Source organism: Homo sapiens, chromosome 15 (genome assembly GCF_000001405.40).
Source record: "Homo sapiens chromosome 15, GRCh38.p14 Primary Assembly".
Lineage (NCBI taxonomy): Eukaryota > Metazoa > Chordata > Mammalia > Primates > Hominidae > Homo > Homo sapiens.
Genome location: NC_000015.10, coordinates 42917154 through 42941064, shown reverse-complemented (window position 1 = coordinate 42941064; position 23911 = coordinate 42917154). Strand labels below are relative to the sequence as shown.

Below are 23911 nucleotides of genomic sequence, written 5' to 3'. Positions count from 1 at the left end.
CCCTTGAGAAGGAGGTCAAGGTTGCAGTGAGCTGACATCACACCACTGCCCTCCAGCCTGTGTGACAGAGTGACACCCTGACAAAAAAAAAAAAAAAAAAAAAAAAAGCAGGGGGCAGGGAAGGAGAAAAAAAGGATTTAGGATAAAGAAGATTTGATATATATTCATTGGAGTCCCTGAAGAAAGAAAAAGCAATGGAACAGAACACAAATGGAAAACTATAATTAGGTTAAAATTTCTTGGGGGAAAAAAAAAACTTGAACACATTTTGAAAGAGAACATTGTAAAAACCCAGAAGAGTCAACACCAAAGGATTTTCACATCCAGACAAACTATCCAAGCATAAAGTCCACACAGATAGTTCAGAGCATGCTAATACTCAGGGAATATTTTTTCCCATGAGCCTTTCCTAAGAAATTTACCAGTGAGCAAGCTTCAGACAATCGTAAATGATTATAGAAGCCTTGGCATAAGGTCTGGGGGTGAGTGTTGCATATGTTTAATTGTACAGATGGAGGGATGAGAGACAAAATTGGATGCTCTAATGATGTAGAATTATTACAACTAACAAAAAATAGGAGAAAAAGGGCAAGTGGGTGGAAAGTTAAACAAGCTCACTAATTACATCAGTGGTTTTCGCCAGAATTAAAAAGGTATCAGGCAGAAACCCGCATCCAGGAACAAAGCCCTTTGCTCCTCCCTCAGAATGAATGGAGACCAGAGATCAGATGTTTATGTCCAAGAAAAGCAGGATTTCGTTCAGTACTTCTCCCAGATCATTGGGGATGAGATGAGGCACCCATAGACAGGAGATGCTATCACCCAGCTGAAGGAGATCCTGTAGTACAATGCCATTGGAGGCAAGTATCACCGGGGTTTGACAGTGCTAGTAGCGTTCTGGGAGCTGGTGGAGCCAAGGAAACATGATGCTGAGAGTCTCCAGCGGGCCCTGACTGTGGGCTGGTGTGTGGAACTGCTGCAAGCTTTGTTCCTGGTGGCAAATGACATCACGGATTCATTGCTCACCGCTGGTAACAGATCTGCTGGTTTCAGAAGCCGGGCGTGGGTTTGGATGCCATCAGTGATGCTATCCTTGTGGAAGCATGTATCTACTGCCTGCTGAAGCTCTATTGCTGGGAGCAGCCCTATTGCCAGAACCTGATCCAGCTCTTCCGGCAGAGTTTCTATCAGACTGAGATTGGGCAGACCCTGGACCTCATCACAGCCCCCCAGGGCAATGCGGATCTTGGCAGATTCACTGAAAAGAGGTACAAATCTACTGTCAAGTACAAGGCAGTTTCTACTTCTACATTCCTGTAGCTGCAGCCATGTACATGGCAGGCATTGATGGCGAGAAGGAGCACGACAATGCCAAGAAGATCCTGCTGGAGATGGGAGAGGGAGAGTTCTTCCAGATCAGGATGATTACCTTCACCTCTTTTGGGGACCCCAGTGTGACCAGCAAAGTTGGCACTGACATCCAGGACAATAAATGCAGCTGGCTGCTGGTTCAGTGTCTGCAACGGGCCACTCCGGAACACTACCAGATCCTGAAGGAGAATTACAGACAGAAGGAGGCCAAGAAGGTGGCCCAGGTGAAGGCAGTATATGAGGAGCTGGATCTGCCGGCCGTGTTCTTGCAATAATAGGAAGACAGTTACAGCCACATTATGGGTCTCATTGAACAGTACGCAGCTCCCCTGTCCCCAGCCATCTTTCTAGGGCTGACATGCAAAATCTACAAAAGTAAAATGTGACCAGAGACTGCAAGGGTGGGGAGAGGAGGCTCTCAATAAATTATTGTGTAAACTTAAAAAAAAATTAAAAATAAATAAAAAGGTATCACTTGAAGGTGACAAATCAAGAAATAAAAACAAGTGGCCGGGCGCGGTGGGTCACGTCTGTAATCCCAGCACTTTGGGAGGCTGAGGCGGGTGGATCACGAGGTCAGGAGATCGAGACCATCCTGGCTAACATGGTGAAACCCCGTCTCTACTAAAAATACAAAAAATTAGCCAGGCGTAGTGGCGGGCGCCTGTAGTCCCAGCTACTGGGGAGGCTGAGGCAGGAGAATGGTGTGAACCCGGGAGGCGGAGCTTGCAGTGAGCCGAGATCGCACCACTGCACTCCAGCCTGGGCGACAGAGCGAGACTCCGTCTCAAAAACAAAACAAAACAAAAACAAGTACACACATTGACACTAGGATAAAGCTAGTGGCTAAATGGTGAGAGAGAAGGAGCAGGGTAAGAAGCAATTTCAAAATTGGTCATGTATTAAGAAACCAACAGTATTTAAGGAAAGAGAATATTACATAAAGATGTAAGTATAAAATTTACTGCTAGAAGTACACCACCAAGGCCGGGCGCGGTGGCTCACGCCTGTAATCCCAGCACTTTGGGAGGCCAAGGCCTGCGGATCACGAGGTCAGGAGATCGAGACCATCCTGGCTAATATGTTGAAACCCCGTCTCTACTAAAAATACAAAAAATTAGCTGCGCGTGGTGGCTGGCGCTTGTAGTCCCGGCTACTCGGGAGGCTGAGGCAGGAGAATGGCGTGAACCCAGGAGGCGGAGCTTGCAGTGAGCCGAGATCGCACCACTGCAGTCCAGCCTGGGCGACAGAGCGAGACTCCGTCTCAAAAAAAAAAAAAAAAAAAAAAAAGTAGTACAACACCAAAGAGGAGGAAAAAGGCAAATAGACTACATAGTGAAACAATGTGGTTCCCACCCTGTGCCCTGAGCTGCAGCCAGGATAGGCTCTGGACACCTGAGACCCTGAGCTGGAATAAGCAGATAAATAATTATTTTACTTGTTTTTATCAATCTTTCTTAAATGTATGTATAGTTCACATTTATTTCAGTGTTTAATATTAGAAGTGTTTTCGTCTTTATTTAGAAGTTTGGGCCGGGCGCGGTGGCTCACGCCTGTAATCCCAGCACTTTGGGAGGCCGAGATGGGCGGATGACCTGAGGTCAGGAGTTTGAGACCGGCCTGACCAACATGGAGAAACTCCATCTCTACCAAAAATACAAATTAGCTGGGCGTGGTGGCGCATGCCTTAATCCCAGCTACTCAAGCGGCTGAGGCAGGAGAATCGCTTGAACCCGGGAGGCTGAGGTTGCAGTGAGCCGAGATTACGCCACTGCACTCCAGCCTCGGCAACAAGAGTGAAACTCTGTCTCAAAAAAAAAAAAGAAGTTTGGTGATGTTTTTGTGATGAGAAGTGTGCCATACGAACTTAACTCTTGTTTATAGTAATTAGCCTATGGTAAAACTGGCTTTGTTATACATCATTTTGCTTAAAGTCACAGTTCCCAAGGGTTAATGATGTTAAATGAAGACTCATGTACTGCTTCACACCTACCAGAATGGCTATAATCAAAAAGATGGGCAATAATGTGTTGGCAAGGATGTGGAGAAAGTGGAACCCTTATACATCACTGGTGAGGATATAAAATGGTACAGCTGCTTTAAAAAACAGATGGGCAGTTCCTGATAAGATCTGTTACCAGATGACTTAGCAATTCTTCTCCCAAATTAAAATTTCAAGAGAATTTGAAACATCTTCACACACACACACACAAAAAAAAACTTATACAAAAATGTGCATAGCAGCATTATTCATAATAGCCCAAAACTGGAAACTACCCAATTGTCCATCAACCAATGAATGGATAAATAATATACCTATCCATACAATGGAATATTATGCACCCATAAAAAGGAATGACATTCTGATGCATGCCATAGCATGGGTAAATCTTGTAAACATTATGCTCAGTGAAAGAAGCCAGTCACAAAAGACCATATATTGTATGATTCCATTTATATCCAATGTCCAGAATTAGACAAATCCATAGAGACAAACAGTAGATTAGTGGTTGTCAGGGGTTGGGAAGACAGGGGAGTAGGGGATGACTGCTAATGGGTATGGGGTTTCTTACTGGGTTGATGAAAATATTATGGATTAGATAGTGTTTCTGATTCAATGCATCCTGGAGCATGGCACCCACCTTCAAAGCTGACACTTCCACTGTACCTTCAGCAGGCCATTCCAACATTGTATTGGCTCAGCTGCTCCTGAGTGGTGCAGTATGCAGTACAACCAGGGTAGCCCATAGTCATGGGGCCCACTGCAGCACTTTCTTACTGTGAAATGGGTTCCCTGGTTACATGCTATGCTGAGTGGAATTCCATGTTGTAGAACAGGTACTCGACAAGCCCCCAGACACTGGTGCTGCCTGAAGCTCTGTGGGCAGGAAAGGCAAACCCATATGCTGAATATGTATCTGTTCATATGAGAATGAACCAGTGACTCTTCTAGGATAGAAACATCCTGGCCAGGCACAGTGGCTCATGTCTAATCCAAGCACTTTGGGAGGCCAAGACAGGAGGATTGCTTGAGCTCAGGAGTTTGAGACCACCCTGGGCAACATAGTGAGACCTTGTCTTTACTAAAAATAAAAAAATAATTAGCCAAGTATGGTGGTACACACCTGTAGTCCCAGCTATTCAGGAGGCTGAGGCAGGAGGATTGCTTGAGCCTGGGAGATTGAGGCTGCAATGAGCTATGATTGTGCCACTGCACCCCAGCCTGGGTGGCAGAAGGAGACTGTCTCAAAAAAAAAAAAAAAATGTAGTCAAGTTGCTGCAAGGTAGCTGGTTGATTTTGAAAAACAGTGCCACAGGCTGGGCGAGGTGGCTCACACCGGTAATCCCAGCACTTTGGGAGGCCAAGGTGGCCAGATCACCTGAGGTCAGGAGTTTGAGACCAGCCTGACCAACATGGCGAAACCCCGTCTCTACTAAAAATACAAAAATTAGCCAGGCATGGTGGCACGTGCCTGTAATCCTAGCTACTCGGGAGGCTGAGGCAGGAAAATCACTTGAACCCAGGAAGCAGAGGTTGCAGTAAGCCGAAATCGTGCCACTGCACTCCAGACTGGGCGAAAGAGTGAGACTCTGTCTCAAAAAAAAGAAAAACAAACAAAAATAGTGCCACATCCGTAGAGCATTGGTCTCTGTGGCTGACAGGTTGGATGTTCAAAGGTGGCAGTCTTGATGAGTGGAGGTCCATGCCACTAGGCCCATGCTTAACCCCCATCTGTCCATTTGTGTACCCATTGTGCCAGCTTCCAAAGGGTGCTAAAACATTAGTTTGAGCATTATTTTGACACTTGATTGTTTTGGTCCCTCTTCTGTAATGGATGCTTTCTGGTGGCTGTTAACATGTAACACAGAAATCTTCAGTGTGCACTATGTGCACTCACTTAGCCCATCCACGGTAACATACAGTATCTATTTGTGTTCAAGTTTTTCACCTTTGAGATTCATCCATGTTGTATGTTCCAGTAGGTCTTTCTTCTTATTGCTAGTTAGTATCTAGTTGTGTGAGTACATAATTTACCCACTCTCCTATTGATAGGCATCTGGGTTGTTTCTAAATTTGCCATTCGGAATAAAGCTGTTATGAGCTTTTTTTTTTTTTTTTTAAGACAGGGTCTCACTTTGTTGCCCAGGCTGAAGTACAGTGACGTTATCTCAACGTCCTGCAGCCTCAACCTCCTGGGCTCAAGGGATCCTCCCACCTCAGACCCCCAATTAGCTGGAACTGCAGGCGTGTGCCACCATGCCCAGCTAATTTTTTGTATTTTTTTGTACAGTCAGGGTTTTACCAGTTGCCCAGGCTGGTCTCGAACTCCTGAGCTCAAGCGATTCACCCGCCTCGGCCTCCCTAAGAGCCACCACGCCTGGCCAAAGTATGGACTACAGTGAGTTCCTTCTAAAGAATACAATATGAAACGGAGAAAAAAAAAAAAAAAAAAAACTTTACAGTGAAGAAACCTAACAAACATTACCTCAACCAGGTGAGCAAGGTAAATATCAGTAGTGATAGAATCACGCTGATGGTATGTAACCTTGACATGATATGATGAAATGGTACTTTATGTGGTTTTCCTCCCTAAAACCCTTAACTCCAGTCTAATAATAAGAAAAACATCACATTCCAATAGAGAGACAAGCTACAACATACTTAACAATATTCCTCAAAGCTGTCCAAGTCATAGCCAAGTCATAGATGTGAGGTGGTACCCTGGATGAGATCCCAGAACAGAAAAAGGACACTAGGTAAAAACTAAGGATATTTGGACAAACTATGGACTTTAGTTAATAATAATTACCCATTTTATTATTTTTATTTTATTTATTTATTTTTGAGACCAGGATCTCACTCTGTCGCCCAGGCTGGAGTGCAGTGGCACAATCTTAGCTCACTGCAACCTCCACCTCCTGGGTTCAAGTGATTCTCCTGCCTCAGCCTCCTAAGAAGCTGGGACTACAGGCACGCACCACCATGCCCAGCTAAGTTTTGTATTTTTTAGTAGAGACGGCGTTTCACTATGTTGCCCAGGCTGGTCTCGAACTCCTGACCTCAAGTGATCTGCCCACCTCAGCCTCCCAAAGTGCTAGGATTACATGCGTGAGCCACCGTGCCCGGCCTTATTATTATTATTTTTTTAGAGACAGGGTTTTGCTAGGTCACCCAGGCTGGAGTACAGTGGTGAGATCATAGCTCACTGTAACCTTGAACTCTGGGCTCAAGGGATCCTCCCCCCTCAGCCTCCCAAGTAGTTGGGAATACAGGTGCACACCATCATGCCTGACTAGTTTTGAAATTTTTTGTAGAGATGGCGTCTCACTATGTTTCCCAGGCTGGTCTTGAACTCCTGGGCTCAAGTGACCCTCCTGCCTCACAATATACTCTTTTCATACCTTTTGAATGTTTTAATGCCTTTTGTTTGAATGTTTTAATACCATTTGAACTTTGCATGCAGCAAGAAATCAAGATTCTTCTGAGAAGGGGATCCTTTCTACACCAGGGTGAGAAAACAGTCCTTATCACCAGAGACGGAGCTGGAGGCAATACACATGTAAAACTAATAAAATTTGTATACTTTTCTCTGGTTAACCACAGGTCAATGTGGTTTTTAGATCCAGCTGAAGAGCACACTAAGAGCTAAAAGAGAGGTTGGAGGTTATCTCTGGCTCCCATACCATGTATAAGAAACCAGTAATAAAAGTCAGGGAACATCCATGGGAGATGTGGATGGAAAGGAGGCTTACTCTTCACTATATATATAAATATAAATATATATATATATTTTTTTTTCGAGACAGGGTCTCACTCTGTCGCCCAGGCTGGAGTGCAGTGACATGATCACAGCTCACTGCAGCCTTGACCTCTTAGGCTCAAGCAATCCTCCCACCTCAGCCTCCCAAGTATCTAGGACTATGTCTAGTTAATTTTATTTTAATTTTAATTTTTGTAGAGACAAGGCCTCACTATGTTGCCCAGGCTGGTCTCGAACTCCTGGGCACAAGCAGTCCTCCTGCCTCACAATATACTCTTTTTAATACCTTTTGACCTTTAGAATGTTGCACTATATGAATATATTTTCTATTAAACAAACAAATAAATAAAATCAGAAAAAAAAGAAAATGGTCTACCAAATCCTCCTCCTGACATTTGTAGTTGGAGTGGACTAGAATTTTTCCTGTCAGGAAAGAATAGGCAAGGGGTAGCTGAGAATAACCCAAAATGTTCTGAGATCCTTCCAGGAGGAGCCTCTGGGTAAAAGTAAACACAGTGAAGTAAGAGGCAAGGAAAGAGGATCTGGGAGCTCAGCAGGAACACTTTTCACACAGGTCAGACTGTCCTACCCAATGGCCTCTCCTCAATCCTGTCCTTCCATCTTCCTTTTAAATGTTGGCTTTTATCCAGGTTCCAATCTTGCCCTCTTGGCTTCTTGCTTCCTATGTACTTCCTTGTGGATTTCATCCATCAAAGTCATTGATTCTAATTAGGGCTGGAATCAAATGAGAGAGAGAGAAATACTGGAGATATTTTGAACAGCAGCTACTATTGTTTTGAAACTCAGTTTTATGGTCTATGAGGGATTAATGCTTAGGTGAGTTAACATGGTTGAAAGATAGGGAAATCCCTATGTTTACTATTTATTTATTTATTAGAGACAAGTCTCAATCTGTCTCCCAGGCTGGAGTGCAGTGACACAATCTTGACTCACTGCAGCCTCTGCCTCCAGGCTCGAGAGATCCTCCCACCTCAGCCTCCCAAGTAGCTGGGACTACAGGCGTGCACCACCATACCTGGTTAATTTTTGTATTTTTTGTAGAGCTGGGGTTTTGCCATGTTGCCCAAGCTGGTCTCAAACTCCTAAGCTCAATTGATCCGTCTGTCTCAGCCTCCCAAACTAGTGGGATTGCAGGCATGAGCCACCGCCCCCCAGCCTAGTTTTTATTTTTATTTTCTCCTAATTATTGTCTGTGCATGACTCTAGGCTAGGTGGCATGTAAAAGTTAATAAATTTGCTCCTGCAGAGTGGGATTTATAATTTGCAAAAGACCAACACAATTAGTGTCCAGTGTATGAAATGGCACAAGGTCAAACCAACAATTAAAGGAGCATCAAAATAAGCCTGTATTAATCCCTTCTCACACTGCTCTGAAGAAATACCTGAGACTGGGTAATTTACAAAGGAAAGAAGTTTAATTGACTCACAGTTCCACATTGCTGGGGAAGCCTCAGGAAACTTACAATCATGGCAGAAGGCAAAGGAGAAGCAGGAGGCACCTTCTTCACAAGGCGGGAGGACAGAGTGAGTGCAAGCAGGGGAAATGCCAGATGCTTATAAAACCACCTGATCTCGTGAGAACTCACTCACTATCACGAGAACAGCATGGTGGGAACCATCCTCATGATCCAATTGCCCCCACCTGCTCCCGCCCTTGACACGTGGGGATATGGGGATTACAGTTTGAGGTGAGATTTGGGTGGTGACACAGAGCCAAACCATATCAAAGCCTGATTTGAATTTTTCAAATGTTTTGTTATAATTCTTAGCAAAGATAACACAAACCATAGGAGATTTACAGCCATTTCTTGAAGAAATCCCCAAGTTCTAACATAGAAATAAATAATGCAGAAATGACAAAAGCAAGGATATATAAATGAATAATATTATGAATGCAAATTAAAAGATGCAAGAAAATTTAAGAGTTGAACTCAAGCTTTACTTCCTGGAGGAATGTTGTTTTTTGACGCTCCCTCTGGCAGGCACACAACAATGTCCACTTGCCTCTACAGGATGTTCATGTTCTACCCTGTAACCTGTGAACATGTTTACCTTACATGGCAAAAGGGACTTTATAGATGTGATTATGTGTGCAAACCTTCAGATGGAGAGTTTTCTGGATTATCCAAGTGGGCCCAAATTAATCACATGGATTTTTTTTTTTTTTTTTTTTTTTCTGAGATGGAGTCTTGCTCTGTCGCCCAGGCTGGAGGGCAGTGGCGCAATCTCGGCTCACGGCAACCTCTGCCTCCCAGGTTCAAGCAATTCTCCTGCCTCAGCCTCCTGAGTAGCTGGGATTACAGGTGCGCACCATCAGGCCTGGCTAATTTTTGTATTTTTAGAGATGGAGTTTCACCATGTTGGTCAGGCTGGTCTCAAACTTCTGACCTCATGATCCACCGGCCTTGGCCTCCCAAAGTGCTGGGATTACAGGCGTGAGCCACCACGCCCAGCTAATCACACGGATTCTTAAAAGGAGAAGAGGCTTGCAGAAGCCTGGGTCAGAGAGACGTACCATGAGGACTTGGCCCACTGTTGCTGCTGACTTTGAAGATGGAGAAAGTGGGCCATCAGCTGGGGAATATGGGCAGCCTCTAGAAGCTGGAAAAGGCAAGGGATCAAATTCTCTCCTTGTGCCTCTAAGAAGGAAGGCAGCCCTACCAATTCCTTCATTTAAGCCCAGTAAGACCCATGTTGGACTTCCTGACCAACAAGGCTGTAAGATAAAAATGTTGTGTTGTTTAAGCCACTAGGTTGGTGTTCATTTGTTACATCAGCACAGAAAGGTGGTGTGCACTGCCCTCAGCCCTGGGTAGAACTGAACACTCCGTGCATTTGCAGCCCTGCTGGATCCTAAGTAGATGTTGATCAGAGGACTGGTTTCCAAGATGGCTCCTTAACATGGTTGTGAAATATTTTTTTCCAATATTTTATTATGAATATTTTCTTTTCTCTTCTTTTTTTATAGACAGAGTGTTACTCTGTTGCCCAGGCTCAAGTGCAGTGGTGTAAGCACAGCTCATTATAACCTTGAACTCCTGGGCTCAAGTGATCCTCCCACTTCCGCCTCCCAAGTAGATAGGACCACAGGCATGCAACACTATGAAAGGCTAATTTTTTATTATTTTTAAATTTTTTGTAGATATGGGGTCTTACTGTGTTGCCCAGGCTGGTCTTGAACTCCTGGTCTCAAGTGATCCTCCCATGATAGCCTCCCAAAGTGCTGAGATTACAGGCATAAGCCACAAAACTGGTCTATTATGAATATTTTTAAACATACAGCAAAGTTGAAAGAACTTTATAGTGACCATCCATATACCACCACCAAGATTCTACCAATAATAATTTGCTATACTTGCTTTATTGTATATCTATCCACCTATCCATCCCTCTATTCATTCATCAATCCCTCTTATTTTTGGGAGGAAATTCAAAGTCAATTGCAATAATTAATACATATGCCCCCCAATGTATTTTGCATGCATATAATTAACTAGAACTCAATATTTTTTGCAGGTTTTTTCTTTTTCTTTTTCTTTTCTTTTTTTTTTTTTTTTTTTGAGACAGGGTCTCACTCTGTTGCACAGGCTGCAGTGCAGTGGTGCGATCACACCTCACTTCAGCCCCAATCATCTGGGCACAATCCTCTCACCTCAGCCTCCCAAGTGGCTGGGACTACAGGTGCATGCCACTATACCCAACTAGTTTGTTTCTATTTTTGTAGAGAAGGGTTCTCACTATATTGCCCAGGCTGGTCTTGAACTCTTGGGCCCAAGCAATGCTCCTGCCTTGACCTCCCAAAGTGCTGGGAAAGGCATGTAAGCCACTGTGCCTGGCCAGTTTTTAATTTTGATATAAAATGTACATTCAATGAAATGCACAAATCTTAAGTGTACATTCATGGAATTTTGACAAATGCAGGCACCTGTGTAACCCAAAACCCTATTAAGATATAGAACATTATCATTACTCTCTATACTCTTACCAGCTAATACCAGCCCCTGTCTACTCAGAGGCAACCATTGTTCTGATTTTTTTCTATCATAGATTAGTGTGTCTTGTGCTAGAGTTTTATATAACTGGAATAATCCAGTATGTTCTCTTTTCCATAAGACTTCCTCACATAAATAGAATCATATAATATGATGCTTTGGCAAGGTTTATTTCATTCAGCATATTGTTTTTGAGATTCATCCATGTTGTTTTGTGTATTAGTTTATTTTTAGTGTTGAGTGATATTCCACTTATGAACATAGTACAGTCTGTAGTCTGTTCTCTTTCGGACCTGAGCTGTTTCCTATTTTGGGATATTATAAATAAAACTACTTTGAACATTCTTGAGTTAGTCTTTTTGTGAAAATATGTTTTCATTTCTTTTGGGTACATATCTTGAAGTCAAACTGCTGATTCATAGGATAGATATATGTTTAGTTTGAAAGAAATGTCCAGATCTTTTTTTCAACATGAATGTACCATTTACATTCCCACCAACAATGTATGAGAGCTCTGGTTGCTCCACGTCCTCACAAACATTGGATGCTGTTAGTCTTTATAATTTTAGCTGTATAGTAGCTACCTTATATTTTTTGCCCATTTTTCTATTGTTTTAAATTCTATTTTCCCTTGATTTTTAAGCATTTTTAATATATCCAAGATATTAGCTCTTTATCTGTGAAATATATTTTAAATATTTTATCTCACTGATTTTGACTTTATAGTTTTAATTCCATAAAAGTTCTTTCAATGTTTTGTAGTTAAATTTTTCAATCTTTTCAAAAATTACATCTGGATGTTGAATTATAATTAGAAAGCCTCTTCTCACACCCAGGTTTAAAGGAATTCATCCATGTTTTCTTCTAGTACTTGTATGATTTCACTTTTTATATTTAGATCTCTGATCCATTTGGAGTTTATTCCTGTTTGTGGTTCAATTTTATTATTATTTTTAACCATCTAATCTGGTTCTCTGGACACTATTTCTAAGAGGGTCCATCTTTGTCCGAACTATCTGAGATGTCACCTTTATCATATATAAAATGTACTTGAGTTCATTCTCAACTTCCTATTACATGCAACTAGAATTCAAAGTTTAAAATTTTTATTTTTTCCAGTTGTTTTTATTTTCCCAGCAACGAATTTTTTCAAAATCTGTGTGAGCAAAAAAACGAAGTTTCAGTTCACTAAGAAAACAGGAGGCCAGGCGAGGTGGCTCACACCTGTAATCCCAGCACTTTGGGAGGCCGAGATGGGCGGATCACCTGAGGTCAGGAGTTTTGAGACTAGCCTGGCCAACATGATGAAACCCCATCTCTACTAAAAATACAAATAAAATTAGCTGAGCTTGGTGGCGGGCACCTATAATCCCAGCTACTGCCTCCTACTGAGGCAGGAGAATTGCTTGAACCCAGGAAGTGGAGGTTGCAGTGAGCCGAGGAGGTTGCACTCCAGCCTGGGCGACAAGAGCAAAACTCTGTCTAAAAAAAAAAAAGAAAAGAGGAATAAGTATACTGTCCTTCTGCAAGGCTAGAACTCATCTCCAACTGGATCTGGATATTCCCCCACAGACTTGCAACCCTGACTTGTTTAGAGCAAGCTTAACATGCGAGCACACAATGAGATGCCGTGCTAAGAATAAGCAGGGACTCTATTTGAATGCTGTTTATCAGACAGACTGACCCAGGAACGCAAAAAGTCCCGTTTCTAGTTCCATACTGCTGTTACCACTCCCAAGGTAAATTTCCTAGGATTGTTCTCTCTTCTGTCTATTCTGAGGTCTCCACACTGAAGGATTTTCTTTGTTGTTTTAACAATCACCCTTGTTGTGTTTCTGGATAAGAGTTGAGGAAAATAAAAAAGCATTTTGCTGGGTGCAGTGGTTCAAACCTGAAATCCTAGTGCTTTGGGAGGCTAAGGTGAGAAGATACCATGAGGCCAGCGGTTCAAGACCAGACTGCGCAATATAGTGCTAGCCCTGGCCCTACAAAATAATAATAATAAAAAAGATGAGGTGGTACACTGCTGTAGTTCTAGCTACTGAAGAGGCTGAGGTGGGAGAATTGCTTGAGCTCAGGTGTTCAAGGTTACAGAGAGCTATACTGGCACCATTGCACTCCAGCCTGGGCAACAGAGTGATACCATTTCTTTTCTTTGAAAGCATCTTAATACAGAAAAATGCAGAAAAAGGCAAACCCAGAGGTGTTGATAGCACTTGTTTGAAAGGTAATACAATGTGACATCACTTGTATTTTTGTACTTATTAGTATTTAACTTTTTGCATTAATTATTTTAAAATACCTACTGAGTGTACTTAATATTTACAGAGTGAAGAAGGTATGGGGAATACACAGTATAAGAAATTATCCCTCTACATTCTATAAAAATAAGATGTACAAAAACTATAATTCAAAATAGCATATATAGGAACCACATCTTATATATTTTTAATCCTCCATAGGATATCCTATGGTAGCCTTGATGTAGGTGCTTAATACATTTCTGGAAATTTTTATCTGCCATCTATGAATATATTTTATTTGGTAGAACATACAATTCCCAAATAACACCACCGGAAAAATATTTTAAGATCATCTTTGGCCCGGCGCAGTGGCTCATGCCTGTAATCCTAGCACTTTGGGGGGCTGAGGCAGGTGAATCACCTGAGGTCAGGAGTTCGAGACCAGCCTGGCCAAGATGGTGGAAACCCGTCTCTACTAAAAATACAAAAATTAGCTGAGCATGGTGGTTCATGCCTGTAATCCCAGTTACTCGGGAAGCTGAGGCAGGAGAATCACTTGAACACAGGAGGCAGAGGTTGCAGTGAGCCGAGATCGTGCCGCTGCACTCCAGCCTGGGCGACAGAGTGAGACTCCGTCTCAAAAAAAAAAAGATTATCTTTTTCATGAGCATAATCAGGTCTTTAAAAATGATTAAAATCTTTAGCCACTGGCTAGTCGGCTTTGATTAATGTCAAAAATATAAGACCAGTTTTGCTTCAATACACCTTGCAGTGGAACACTATTATCGCTAGGGTGCGCTATTAGCATTGCTAGCCAGTTAATGATCCTGCCAGAAGAGCCTGAAAATCACAGAAAGCTGTCCAGTGTTTGGAGTGGAGTGGCAGGTTCCTGAACTAGACTGAAAGTCACTGAACTTTTTCCAGACTGTCACAGGCACAATCATAACATCACCCCACTACTTTCTCATTTTAAAAATATGAGTATACAACAATAATATATTAATGGGGCCGGGCGCAGTGGCTCACACCTGTAATCCCAGCACTTTGGGAGGCCGAGGCCAGCGGATCACCTGAGGTCAGGAGTTCGAGACCAGCCTGGTTAACATGATGAAACCCCGTCTCTACTAAAAATACAAAAAAAATTAGCTGGGTGTGCTGGCAGCCACCTGTAATCCCAGCTACTAGGGAGGCTGAGGCCGGAGAATCACTTGAACCCGGGAGGCGGAGGTTGTGGTGAGCTGAGATCGCACCATTGCACTCCAGCTTGGCCAACAAGAGCAAAACTCCATCTCTGAAAAAAAAAAATTATATATATATATGACCTTGCAACAAAAATATGAGCAAATATGTGTAGCTATAATTCACTCTTCTAATAAAACCTGCAAAAAGTTAACAGTTAATGATATAATTATTCTGTGTTTCATAAAAGGCCTAAACAGGAAGCAGATCAAGAAATAACCACAATTAGAATTACTTTGTGAATGTAAACTCTTTTAGTTTCTTTTCTCACTTTACTAGGTCTAATCAATGTCAATCTTTTCTGATATTACGGTCTATTTTAATCATCATCATTAAACACAAATTGATATCAATAGGTTAAAAGGCGATAAACTCATATCTCCCAAATTGAGAGTTTTTTGCCTTGCCCGCTCAACACCGTTTTCTCTTACCTAATTCTTTTTGCTTGAAATTTCTTTAATTAGAAATCAGGGCCTGGTGCAGTGGCTCATGCCTGTAATCCCAGCACTTTGGGAGGCTGAGGCAGACGGATCACGAGATCAGGAGTTCGAGACCAGCCTGGCCAACATAGCGAAACCCTGTCTCTACTAAAAATACAAAAATTAGCCAGGTGTGGTGGCACATACCTGTGGTCCCAGCTACTTGGGAGGCTGAGGCAGGAGAATCGCTTGAACCCGGGAGGTGGAGCTTGCAGTGAGCCAAGATGGTGCCATTGCACTCCAGCCTGAGTGACAGAGCAAGACTCTGTTTAAAAAAAAAAAAGAAAATAAATCAAGGCTGGGCGCAATGGCTCACGCCTGTAATCCCAGCACTTTGAGAGGCTGAGGAGGATGGATCACTTGAGGTCAGGAGTTCAAGACCAACCTGGCCAACACGGTGAAACCCCGTCTTTACGAAAAATACAAAAATTATTCTGGCGTGCTGGCAGGTGACTGTAATCCCAGCTACTTGGGAGGCTAAGGCGGGAGAACTGCTTGAACCTGGGAGGTGGAGGTTGCAGTGAGCCAAGATCGTGCCACTGCCCTCCAGCCTGGGTGACAGGGTGAGACTCCATCTCAAAAAAAAAAAAATCAAGTCTTTTACTTAAAAGTAAAATTTTCACTAAAAAAAAAAAAAAAAAAGAACAAAGTTTCAAAAACACAAACACTTGAGGTAGTGAATATATTTGATGTGAATGCCTTTCTGTCGAAATCAGAATGCAGCTGATACTGACTTAAAGAAATGAAGCTCTCAGAGAACCCCAAGGATTTGGCCTTTGAGTATCTTTATATGCTGTATACCTCTCTTATAGCAGTTATTACAATGTATTCTAATAAGATTTGCATGTTTGCTAATCATTACATTGTGAAACCCTGAGGGACAGGACTGAATTTATTCAAATTTGCTTTCCCAGTGCCTATCAGAGTAGATGGCATTAGTAGGCTCTATAAAAACTTGTTTATGGGGGCCGGGTGTGGTGGCTTACGCTTGTAATCCCAGCACTTTGGGAGGCCAAGGCAGGCGGATCATGAGGTCAGGAGATTGAGACCATCCTGGCTAACACGGTGAAACCCCATCGCTACTAAAAATATTAAAAAATTAGCCGGGCATGGTGGCGGGTGCCTGTAGTCCCAGCTACTCGGGAGGCTGAGGCAGGAGAATGGCATGGACCCGGGAGGCAGAGCTTGCAGTGAGCCGAGATTGCGCCCACTGCACTCCAGCCTGGGTGACACAGCAAGCCTCTGTCTCAGAAAAAAACAAAAAAACTTGTTTATGGGGATTTTGTTTGTGGATTAAGTAACATTCAAATAGAAACTTATTTGCTGAAAAACTGAAAAACAGGGCTGCTTGCTGGTTTGCAGAAATGCTTGAGCACCAGTTCACTATTGAGTTTCATGTTTCAAAGCACTGCGTAATGAGTTTAAAAAAGAGATTTATTGAGATATAATTAACATAACATATATTTACCCACTTCTCATGTGCAACTCTGAGATTTGTTTCTAAAGAGAGAGATAGAAAGAGAAAAGGGCAGAGGTCTCTTTTCCTTGAGTTGCACACTGATTCACACTGTGGTGCTGTCCTAATAACAATGTGATGTAAATGACACATCTAGATCCTTTTCTGTTTGGATTATGGGAAGAAGGTTACAAAGTGGTACCTAAAGATAGGCAGAAGAGGACATAAATGGAAGGAAAGGAAAAGAAGAAAGAGATTCTTCAATATGTTATTTATTTCATGCTAGGAGAAAAGAAGCTGTGTTAAAAGGGGCTTTATGTCCTGTGTGGGGACTTTTTAATGTCTGAACTTTGGACATTGTATCTTTGAATATGCTGTAAGACTGATCCTAGAGTCTGTCTGATTCCTTTAGACTTATCCAGGGACACATCCTTAGACTTGAGTTATTCCTCTCTCTTATTTTCCCAAGTCTTACTGTATTCGTTATCTCTTGCTGCATGACCAATTATCCCAAAAATTAATGCTTAAAGCAATAGTAAATATTTACTATATCACATAGTTTCTGTGATATAGTAACACATTTTAGAAGTGGCTTAGCTGGGTAGTTCTGGCTTGGAGTGTCTCACAAGGTGGTGGTTAAGAAGCCAGCTGGGCTTTCAGTCATCTGAAGGCTTGACTGGGGCTGGAGGATTCATTTCTAAGAATGGCTCACTAACATAGACGGCAAACTGGTGCTGATTATTGATGTGATGCTTCAGTTCCTTGCCAGGGGAACACTGCATGGAACTGCTAGAGTATCTTCAGGAGAAGACAACTGGCTTCTCCCTAAATAAGTGATCCAAGAACACATAAGGCAGAAGCTACAATGTCTGTTATAACCTGGCCTTGATATTCCCACACCATAATTTCTGGAAAATCCTATTGGTTACACAGGTCAGTCCAATTCAGTATGGAAAGGAATAAATAAGAATGAGAGTAAGTGAGGTAGGGATCATTGGGGGCCATCTGGAAGTCTGGCTACCACATTTATGTATTAGAGACAGAGTCTTGCGTTGTCACCCAGGCTGGAGTGCAGTGATGCAATCATAGCTCACTGCAGCCTCGACCTCCTGGGCTCAAGCAATCCTCCCACCTCAGCCTCCTGGGTAGCTGGGACTACAGGGGCCAGCTAATTAAAAATATATATTTTTTGTAGAGACAGAGTCTCACTATGTTGCTAGGGCTGGTCTCCAACTCCAGGGCTCAACAGATCCTCCTGCCTTGGCCTCCCAAAGTGCTGGGATTACAAGTGTGAGCCACTATGCTCAGTTTATTTCTTAAAAGAGATACATGCATATATATTTGAGTTTTATATATATACTTGAGATCTATCTATATCTATAACTCAAAGGGGATTCCTAAACTCCAGTACCAGCTCTTGAATAACATATTACATTGACATTTAGCCTGACTGAAAGAGTATCTCTGGGGACAGCTCAATAATTCTAAAATGGAAAAGACTGGAGAAAAGGGGAGGCTTTTATTGCTAAGCCTAATTTCAATGAATCTGGACATTTTTTCCCTAGAAACTTTTTTTTTTTCTTTTTTAAAGACAGGGTATCTCTGTTGCCCAGACTGGAGTGCAGTGATGCGATAATAGCTCACTGCAGCCTTGACATCCAGGGCTCAAGCAATCCTCCTGCCTCAGCCTCCCAAGTGGCTGGGACTACAGGTGCATGCCACCACACCTGGCTAATTTTTGTATTTTTAGTAGAGACAGGGCTGGCTAACTAAAAATTTTTTGTGTGTAGAGACAAGGTCTTGTTATGTTGCCCAGGCTGGTCTTGAACTCCTGGGCTCAACCGATCCTCCTGCCTCAGCCTCCCGAATAGCTGAGACTACAGGGGCATGCCACCATGCCCGGCTAATTAAAAAAAATTTTAAATCCATGCTTCCGTGATCATTTTGTGTGTGTGTGTGTGTGTGTGCAGAAGGAGTCTCCTTATGTCTCCTTACATTGCCCAGTTTGGTCTTGAACTCCTGGACTGAAGTGATCCTCCCACATCAGCCTCTCAAAGTGCTGGGATTGCAGGCATTAGCCACTGTGCCTGGCCCCTATAAACTTCTTTAATTTTAAAGAAAAATATTTACAGAAACCCTAATGTTTTCTTATTCAAATTATGTGATTGGTCAATACTCTGAAATGAATGAAGTACTCTATTAGACATAGTAATAGAAAAAGTAACGTGTGGTTTTAATCAGTAGAAATAAAAAACAATTTGGCAACATCTTTATGTTTGCATAGAACAAGATGAGCTGCATCATCACTTGCCTTTAATGTACATTTTGTCCTGCTTTCAATCCAAGGATCTGGACATGACAGAGAGTAGAGATGCCTGCTGTTTTTAAAAAGAATGGCAAGAGGCTGTGGCACTTCCTGAGCAAGAAGAAACAGATTCTATAGGAACAGTTCCAAGATTGAATATAGGATTAGTCATTTACCTTTCTATATTCTTAATCAGCTTTAATGACAATGTCACTTGAGTGAAGAAAAGGATTTAAAGTAAAAATGAAGTTCATAATTCATTACATTCTTTCCATTCATGGCAGAACCCTGGGGATCATTGTGATTCTTAAGTAGAAAGGACATTAGATGTGGGGCGTATGAGAGACCTGAGTTTTGGTTTTGCCACTGATTAGTTTATAGCCTTAGGAAAGCTGTTTAGCGTTTTTCATGTGTTTTCTCTACTGTACACTGGTGGGCAAAGATGGGAGAGGTGCTTAATCTTAAGGTTTTCCTTCGCCAAAGCGACTGACACAACACTAAATAGAAACGCATCCTGCACAGCGTCCTTGCTCCGCCCTCCTCGCTTTTCTTTGAAAGTCTTTGAGCACCTCCCGCATACACTTGCTCAGCATCGCATACTGGTGTGCACCGGGGCTGGCCATTGAGTCTTTAGCTGGTGGTGTTTCACAAAGGGAATGAAATCTTGTTCTTGGGTTGTGAAACCGTAAGGACACTCCGGTCTCCAAGTTGACATTCGTTTATGGAAGTGCCCATCTCCTTTCCTCGTCACACCTAAGGCCCTTCCCCAGTCCCCCAAAGATGATTAGCTTCACGTTAGGCGGTTCTGGGGACGGCGCCAATTTGCGGGATGCTGTCAGCGCTGATGCTGAGGAAGAGGATGGATCCTTAAGGCTTGCAGGGCCTCACGATTTGGGCCCTTCATCGCGACTGCCTCAGTGTGTAATTTCGTATCGTGACAAAGCATTTCCGATTTTATTCCGAAAAGCCCAACCATGGGGTCCCAACCATCCCTCTATAACCAATTTAACTGTCACGCTAGGAGAACACCTATGTGCGCAAACTACTTGTCTCGGAAGCCCTACTTCTCTCCTCGGGACAGGCGGGGAGTTGCGGCTATGGCTGGAACTACGAGGCCCAGAATTCCTAGGCGCATGCGCGCTGCCATTGTGATGCTCCTTTCCCGGTAACTCGCCCTCTCAGGCAAACCTGAAGATAGCGGCAATTCTCCGGTGGGGGGCGGAGACGGTTTCTGCCCGACTCTCCGCCCCCTTCGTGATAGGCAATGGGACTAGCCAACCGACGCTGCGAGTTCGGAACGCACTCTCCAATCAGCACCTGTAGCGGAGAGGTGGGCGTGCGCGCTGGCAGGGCAGGTGGGCTAGGCTGTGTCGGGTTACGAGGGGGGAGAATAACGTCGGGTCGGGTCAGCGGGCTCTGCAGTAGTCGCCGCAGCGGCGATGGGAGCGGTGGGGACGAGGCGGCGGCGGCGGCAGGAGGGGGAGCAGGTGCTGGCACAAGAGCAGCGGCTTGGGGGAGCCGGCAGCAGCAGTAACAGCAGCAGCAGCCGCCGCCGCCGCCGCCAGTAAACGCGGACGGTACCCCAGGGGACTACCCAGCCGGCCGGCCCTGGAAGCCGCGCTCGGGTCCCGCCGCAGTCGGCGGTGGGGGATGGGCAGGCAGTGGCGGTCCCGCCTGCCGAGGGTTAACCCCCGCCGGTCCCGGTCCTGAGCTGGACCAGAGCCCTCCTCCAGAAACCCCTGCGTCCGCCACGGCCCAGGTAGGACACACCCCCCGACCCCCCAGGGCGCCGCCCTCCCCCAGTCTCGACCCCCTCCTCCGGCCGCACCCCTCGCCGAGTGACCGAGCCTGCTGAGGAGGGGAGGGGTACCGGGGACTTTCAGTTCGCTGCAAGCCCGGGGCTCGTGCCAGACCCCGTCACTCTCCATCTCGGAGATCGTTCTGGTTCTGCCCGATTTCCCCGAAGGCTGCCGCCTCGTTTTGCCCCAGGCTTTGGGTGTCTTCACTGAACTTGGAGGGTCACGAAGCTTCGTTCTGCGTCTCTCTCTGTGGGTGACCCACATATCACTTGTACCCATGCCACTTCTGGTACCAGCACCGAACACGAAGGATTCCTAGGAAATCTGAGCGCTTATTTCCCACCCCGCCTCCCCAACTATCATGGAAAGGAACATGGGACTACTGAATCTGTTTGCTGTGTTGTAACGACAGTGAAGGCCGCGACTTTCTTGTACTTAGGGTGCTGAAGTAATGATCTGAGGGATTTGCTCGTCATTTGCTGTGGCAGAGATGATGTTGACACCCTGGGATGCTGTGGGAGGGACAAAAGACTCACGTATATGTTCTGTCAAATCGGAGAAGTAAATAATCCATTGGGATGCCAGGATACTTTATTCTACAGCGAAGTTAATTTTGTATCCGTCGAGGCTACAGTAGAGGTAAAAATGACATTGAGTTGTACTTTGCTTTGAATTAAAGTTGATGGGTAGCAGCAATCCTGGTATTAACTCTTCTCTCTCATCGCTTTAGAAATTATTCTTTCTTTGAACATTAAAGAGGACAGTTTTATTATACACTTCTAATAATGTGAAGATGTTTTGTAATTCAGTAGAAATTGAGTTTCTGTGTGTGTAGGAGGGTCATGTTATGAATGGGCACATGTAGACACACACGCAGAGGGAGGATCCACTCAGTGTGTTTTGTTAACAATGTTTGGTTCTGAGCCATTGATAATAGTTGCATTGGTATCTAAACCCTGATTTGCCACAGTATAACACAAAGATGTGTTGGCTGTGTACCTTTGGCTAAATGGAATAGAATAAAGTTCATTTGGGGATAGAAGGGGGAAATGATTTTAACTTATCAAGGGAATTGAATGCTATGTATTGCTTGCTTTATTTCCTTTTTTTTTTTAAATAAAGAAGCAGTAATGATGACAAATATAGCTTAATATGATTAATCTTGAGGCATTTGTCTGAAGTCAAAAAATGTTTCAAATAATGTGTGTGTTATATTGTGATCTATGCAAATTGAAAACATTGAAGGAAATCTTTGATTTAGAAGCTTATGTTTTCCTGTATGATAACATTTTATCAAGACACCGAAGGGGACATATGAAGCATGGTTTTAAAGGAAAGTTTCTCTTAACATTTTTCTTTTATGATAGAATGTTAGGAAATGCTTTCTTCCCTCTTCCAGTTTTAGACACAGAAGAAATTAAAGTCCATAACTTCATTAATTTAATATATAATATCAAGTTGATGCAAATTTGTACATTGGTTAGGGGGCTGAGAATAATATATCTTGCTCATTATCTTGTACTATGGTTAATACATAATTTAGTAAATTCTCTATTGCATTATATATGACTTTAGATTGTTGTATCTTCTTTTGATTTTAAGTGTTGATTATTTTAATACTTCAGGAAATCTTCAAGAGGTTAGACCTCATTTGCTTTAGCAAATTGAACTCAATTATGTGGGGCTTCAAGTATCTTTAAATGTAATACTAGAAGGGAAGTTTGCATAATTTAGACCATTTTCGAGCGTATTTTACTTCTAAAAAGTGCACTAAAAATGTGGCAATGATAAGTTATTGGTTTTTCAAAGTAAATGAATATTACAGATCCGAGTTAGCTGTGATCATGGAATTTAAATTTCACTTTGGTGGGGGGCAGCCACTTTTTTATATGCTTTATAACTTTAAAAAGTAACATATCCAGATGACTGCTTGATTGCAACTCATGAGAGACTCTGAGCCAGAACCACCTACCTAAGACACTTTCAGATTCGAATCCTGAGAAACTGTGTGAGATAATAAATGTTTGCTGCTTTAAAAAAAAAAACCTCATGCCTGTAATCCCAGCACTTTGGGAGGCCAAGGCAGGAGGATCGCTTGAGCCCAGGAGTTTGAGACCAGCCTAAGTAACACAGGGAGATCCTGTCTCTACAAAAAACAAACAAAAATTTAGCCGGGCATGGTGGCTCACACCTGTGGTTCCAGCTACTAGGGAGACTGAGGGGGTGGATCGGAGGTTGAGGCTGCTGTGATCTGTGATCGCTCCACTGCACTCCAGGCTGGGTGACAGAGCAAGACCCCATCTCTTGAAATAAATAAATAAATAAATAAATACAAATCTATGACAAGGGAAAGTGTTTAGGATCATTATTGATCTAGTAAGGACTGTGTTGATCAGTAAAATAAAAAGTCTTTGAGAATTATGGAAAATATAGCTATAGCTTACTTCTTTCCACACTTAAAAAAAAATCCTATAGGAAATATTCTTTTACAAATATATAGCAAACAGTGTTTTCAATTTGAGGGTATGCTACTCAAAATTACTCTAGTCATGTATTCATTTTTTGTTCTTATTGAGGTTTTTGAGAGACACTCAAAATGTAGCTGGAGCTATTTCTGTTTGATTAGTAATATTGCAATATACCTTCAATATTTATGGATTTTTGAAATTAAATACATTTTATTTAGTTTTATTTCCTAGTCTTTTTTTTTTTTGTCATCCAGCATATTGTAAACAATGTGTGGTAGTGGAAGTTTTTTCCCCAGGCTTCAGTGGATAGAACCTTTTATGCCGAAAGTACTGAAAGCTTTCAAGTTAAATATCGTACATATTTGGTGAAAGAGCCTTTAAGGTCATATGAAAAAATTCAGTTTTTTAGAACTAAATTTTGAGCATAAGGACAACACATATTACTACTCAAAACTGCCTCATTAAAGTCTGGTGATCCTTGATTATAGGTTTATAATACAGATTGAAATTATATTATAACATAATATGAATGTCAATTTTGCTAGATAGTTTCTTCTTTTCAGTTGGTTATTTTTAAATAGCCTTCTTAGTATATTTTCATTAATGTCATGTGACTTTATTCTTGATGCTTAAGTGAACATATAGTACTTACAAACTTTTGTGAACATTTTGGATTTTTTTTCCTGTGATTTTTTTTTTAACCTTTGTCTCTATAATCCTTGGTGTTTTGGAGTGTTTATAGCTGTTTTTTATTGTATATAGGAATTTGCTTTCAC

At 42.7% G+C, this 23911-nt stretch overlaps 1 protein-coding gene and 1 pseudogene across 5 annotated transcripts in view, besides 5 other annotated features; both read left to right on the top strand.

Moving 5' to 3' along the window:
* Positions 661 to 1812, top strand: FDPSP4 (farnesyl diphosphate synthase pseudogene 4; annotated as a pseudogene).
* Positions 19666 to 19765: an enhancer, noted in NCBI's record as "active region_9308". NCBI's record gives its function as "activates an Ori minimal core promoter by ATAC-STARR-seq in GM12878 lymphoblastoid cells {active_cell/tissue: GM12878}" and the evidence as "EXISTENCE:reporter gene assay evidence [ECO:0000049][PMID:35858748]".
* Positions 19968 to 20468: an enhancer, noted in NCBI's record as "H3K27ac hESC enhancer chr15:43212795-43213295 (GRCh37/hg19 assembly coordinates)". NCBI's record gives its function as "activates a minimal SCP1, AML or CMV promoter by ChIP-STARR-seq in naive H9 embryonic stem cells {active_cell/tissue: H9 hESC(naive)}" and the evidence as "EXISTENCE:reporter gene assay evidence [ECO:0000049][PMID:30033119]".
* Positions 19968 to 20969: a biological region, named in NCBI's record as "H3K27ac hESC enhancers GRCh37_chr15:43212294-43212794 and GRCh37_chr15:43212795-43213295".
* The window catches only part of TTBK2 (tau tubulin kinase 2), a 182271-nt gene continuing 178424 nt past the window's right edge, over positions 20065 to 23911 (top strand). For 2 of the 5 annotated variants that reach the window (XM_005254173.6, NM_173500.4), the window contains exon 1: positions 20287 to 20627. Coding sequence is in view for 2 of the 5 variants with exons in the window: in XM_005254171.6 (XP_005254228.1) it covers positions 21208 to 21306 (99 nt within the window). In the remaining 3 variants the exon portion in view is untranslated. Of the gene's footprint in view, positions 20224 to 20286; positions 21307 to 23911 lie in introns of those variants that run through there. The other 3 variants (XM_006720402.5, XM_047432189.1, XM_005254171.6) reach the window with 3 other exon arrangements.
* Positions 20286 to 20695: a silencer, noted in NCBI's record as "silent region_6379". NCBI's record gives its function as "represses an Ori minimal core promoter by ATAC-STARR-seq in GM12878 lymphoblastoid cells {active_cell/tissue: GM12878}" and the evidence as "EXISTENCE:reporter gene assay evidence [ECO:0000049][PMID:35858748]".
* Positions 20469 to 20969: an enhancer, noted in NCBI's record as "H3K27ac hESC enhancer chr15:43212294-43212794 (GRCh37/hg19 assembly coordinates)". NCBI's record gives its function as "activates a minimal SCP1, AML or CMV promoter by ChIP-STARR-seq in primed H9 embryonic stem cells {active_cell/tissue: H9 hESC(primed)}" and the evidence as "EXISTENCE:reporter gene assay evidence [ECO:0000049][PMID:30033119]".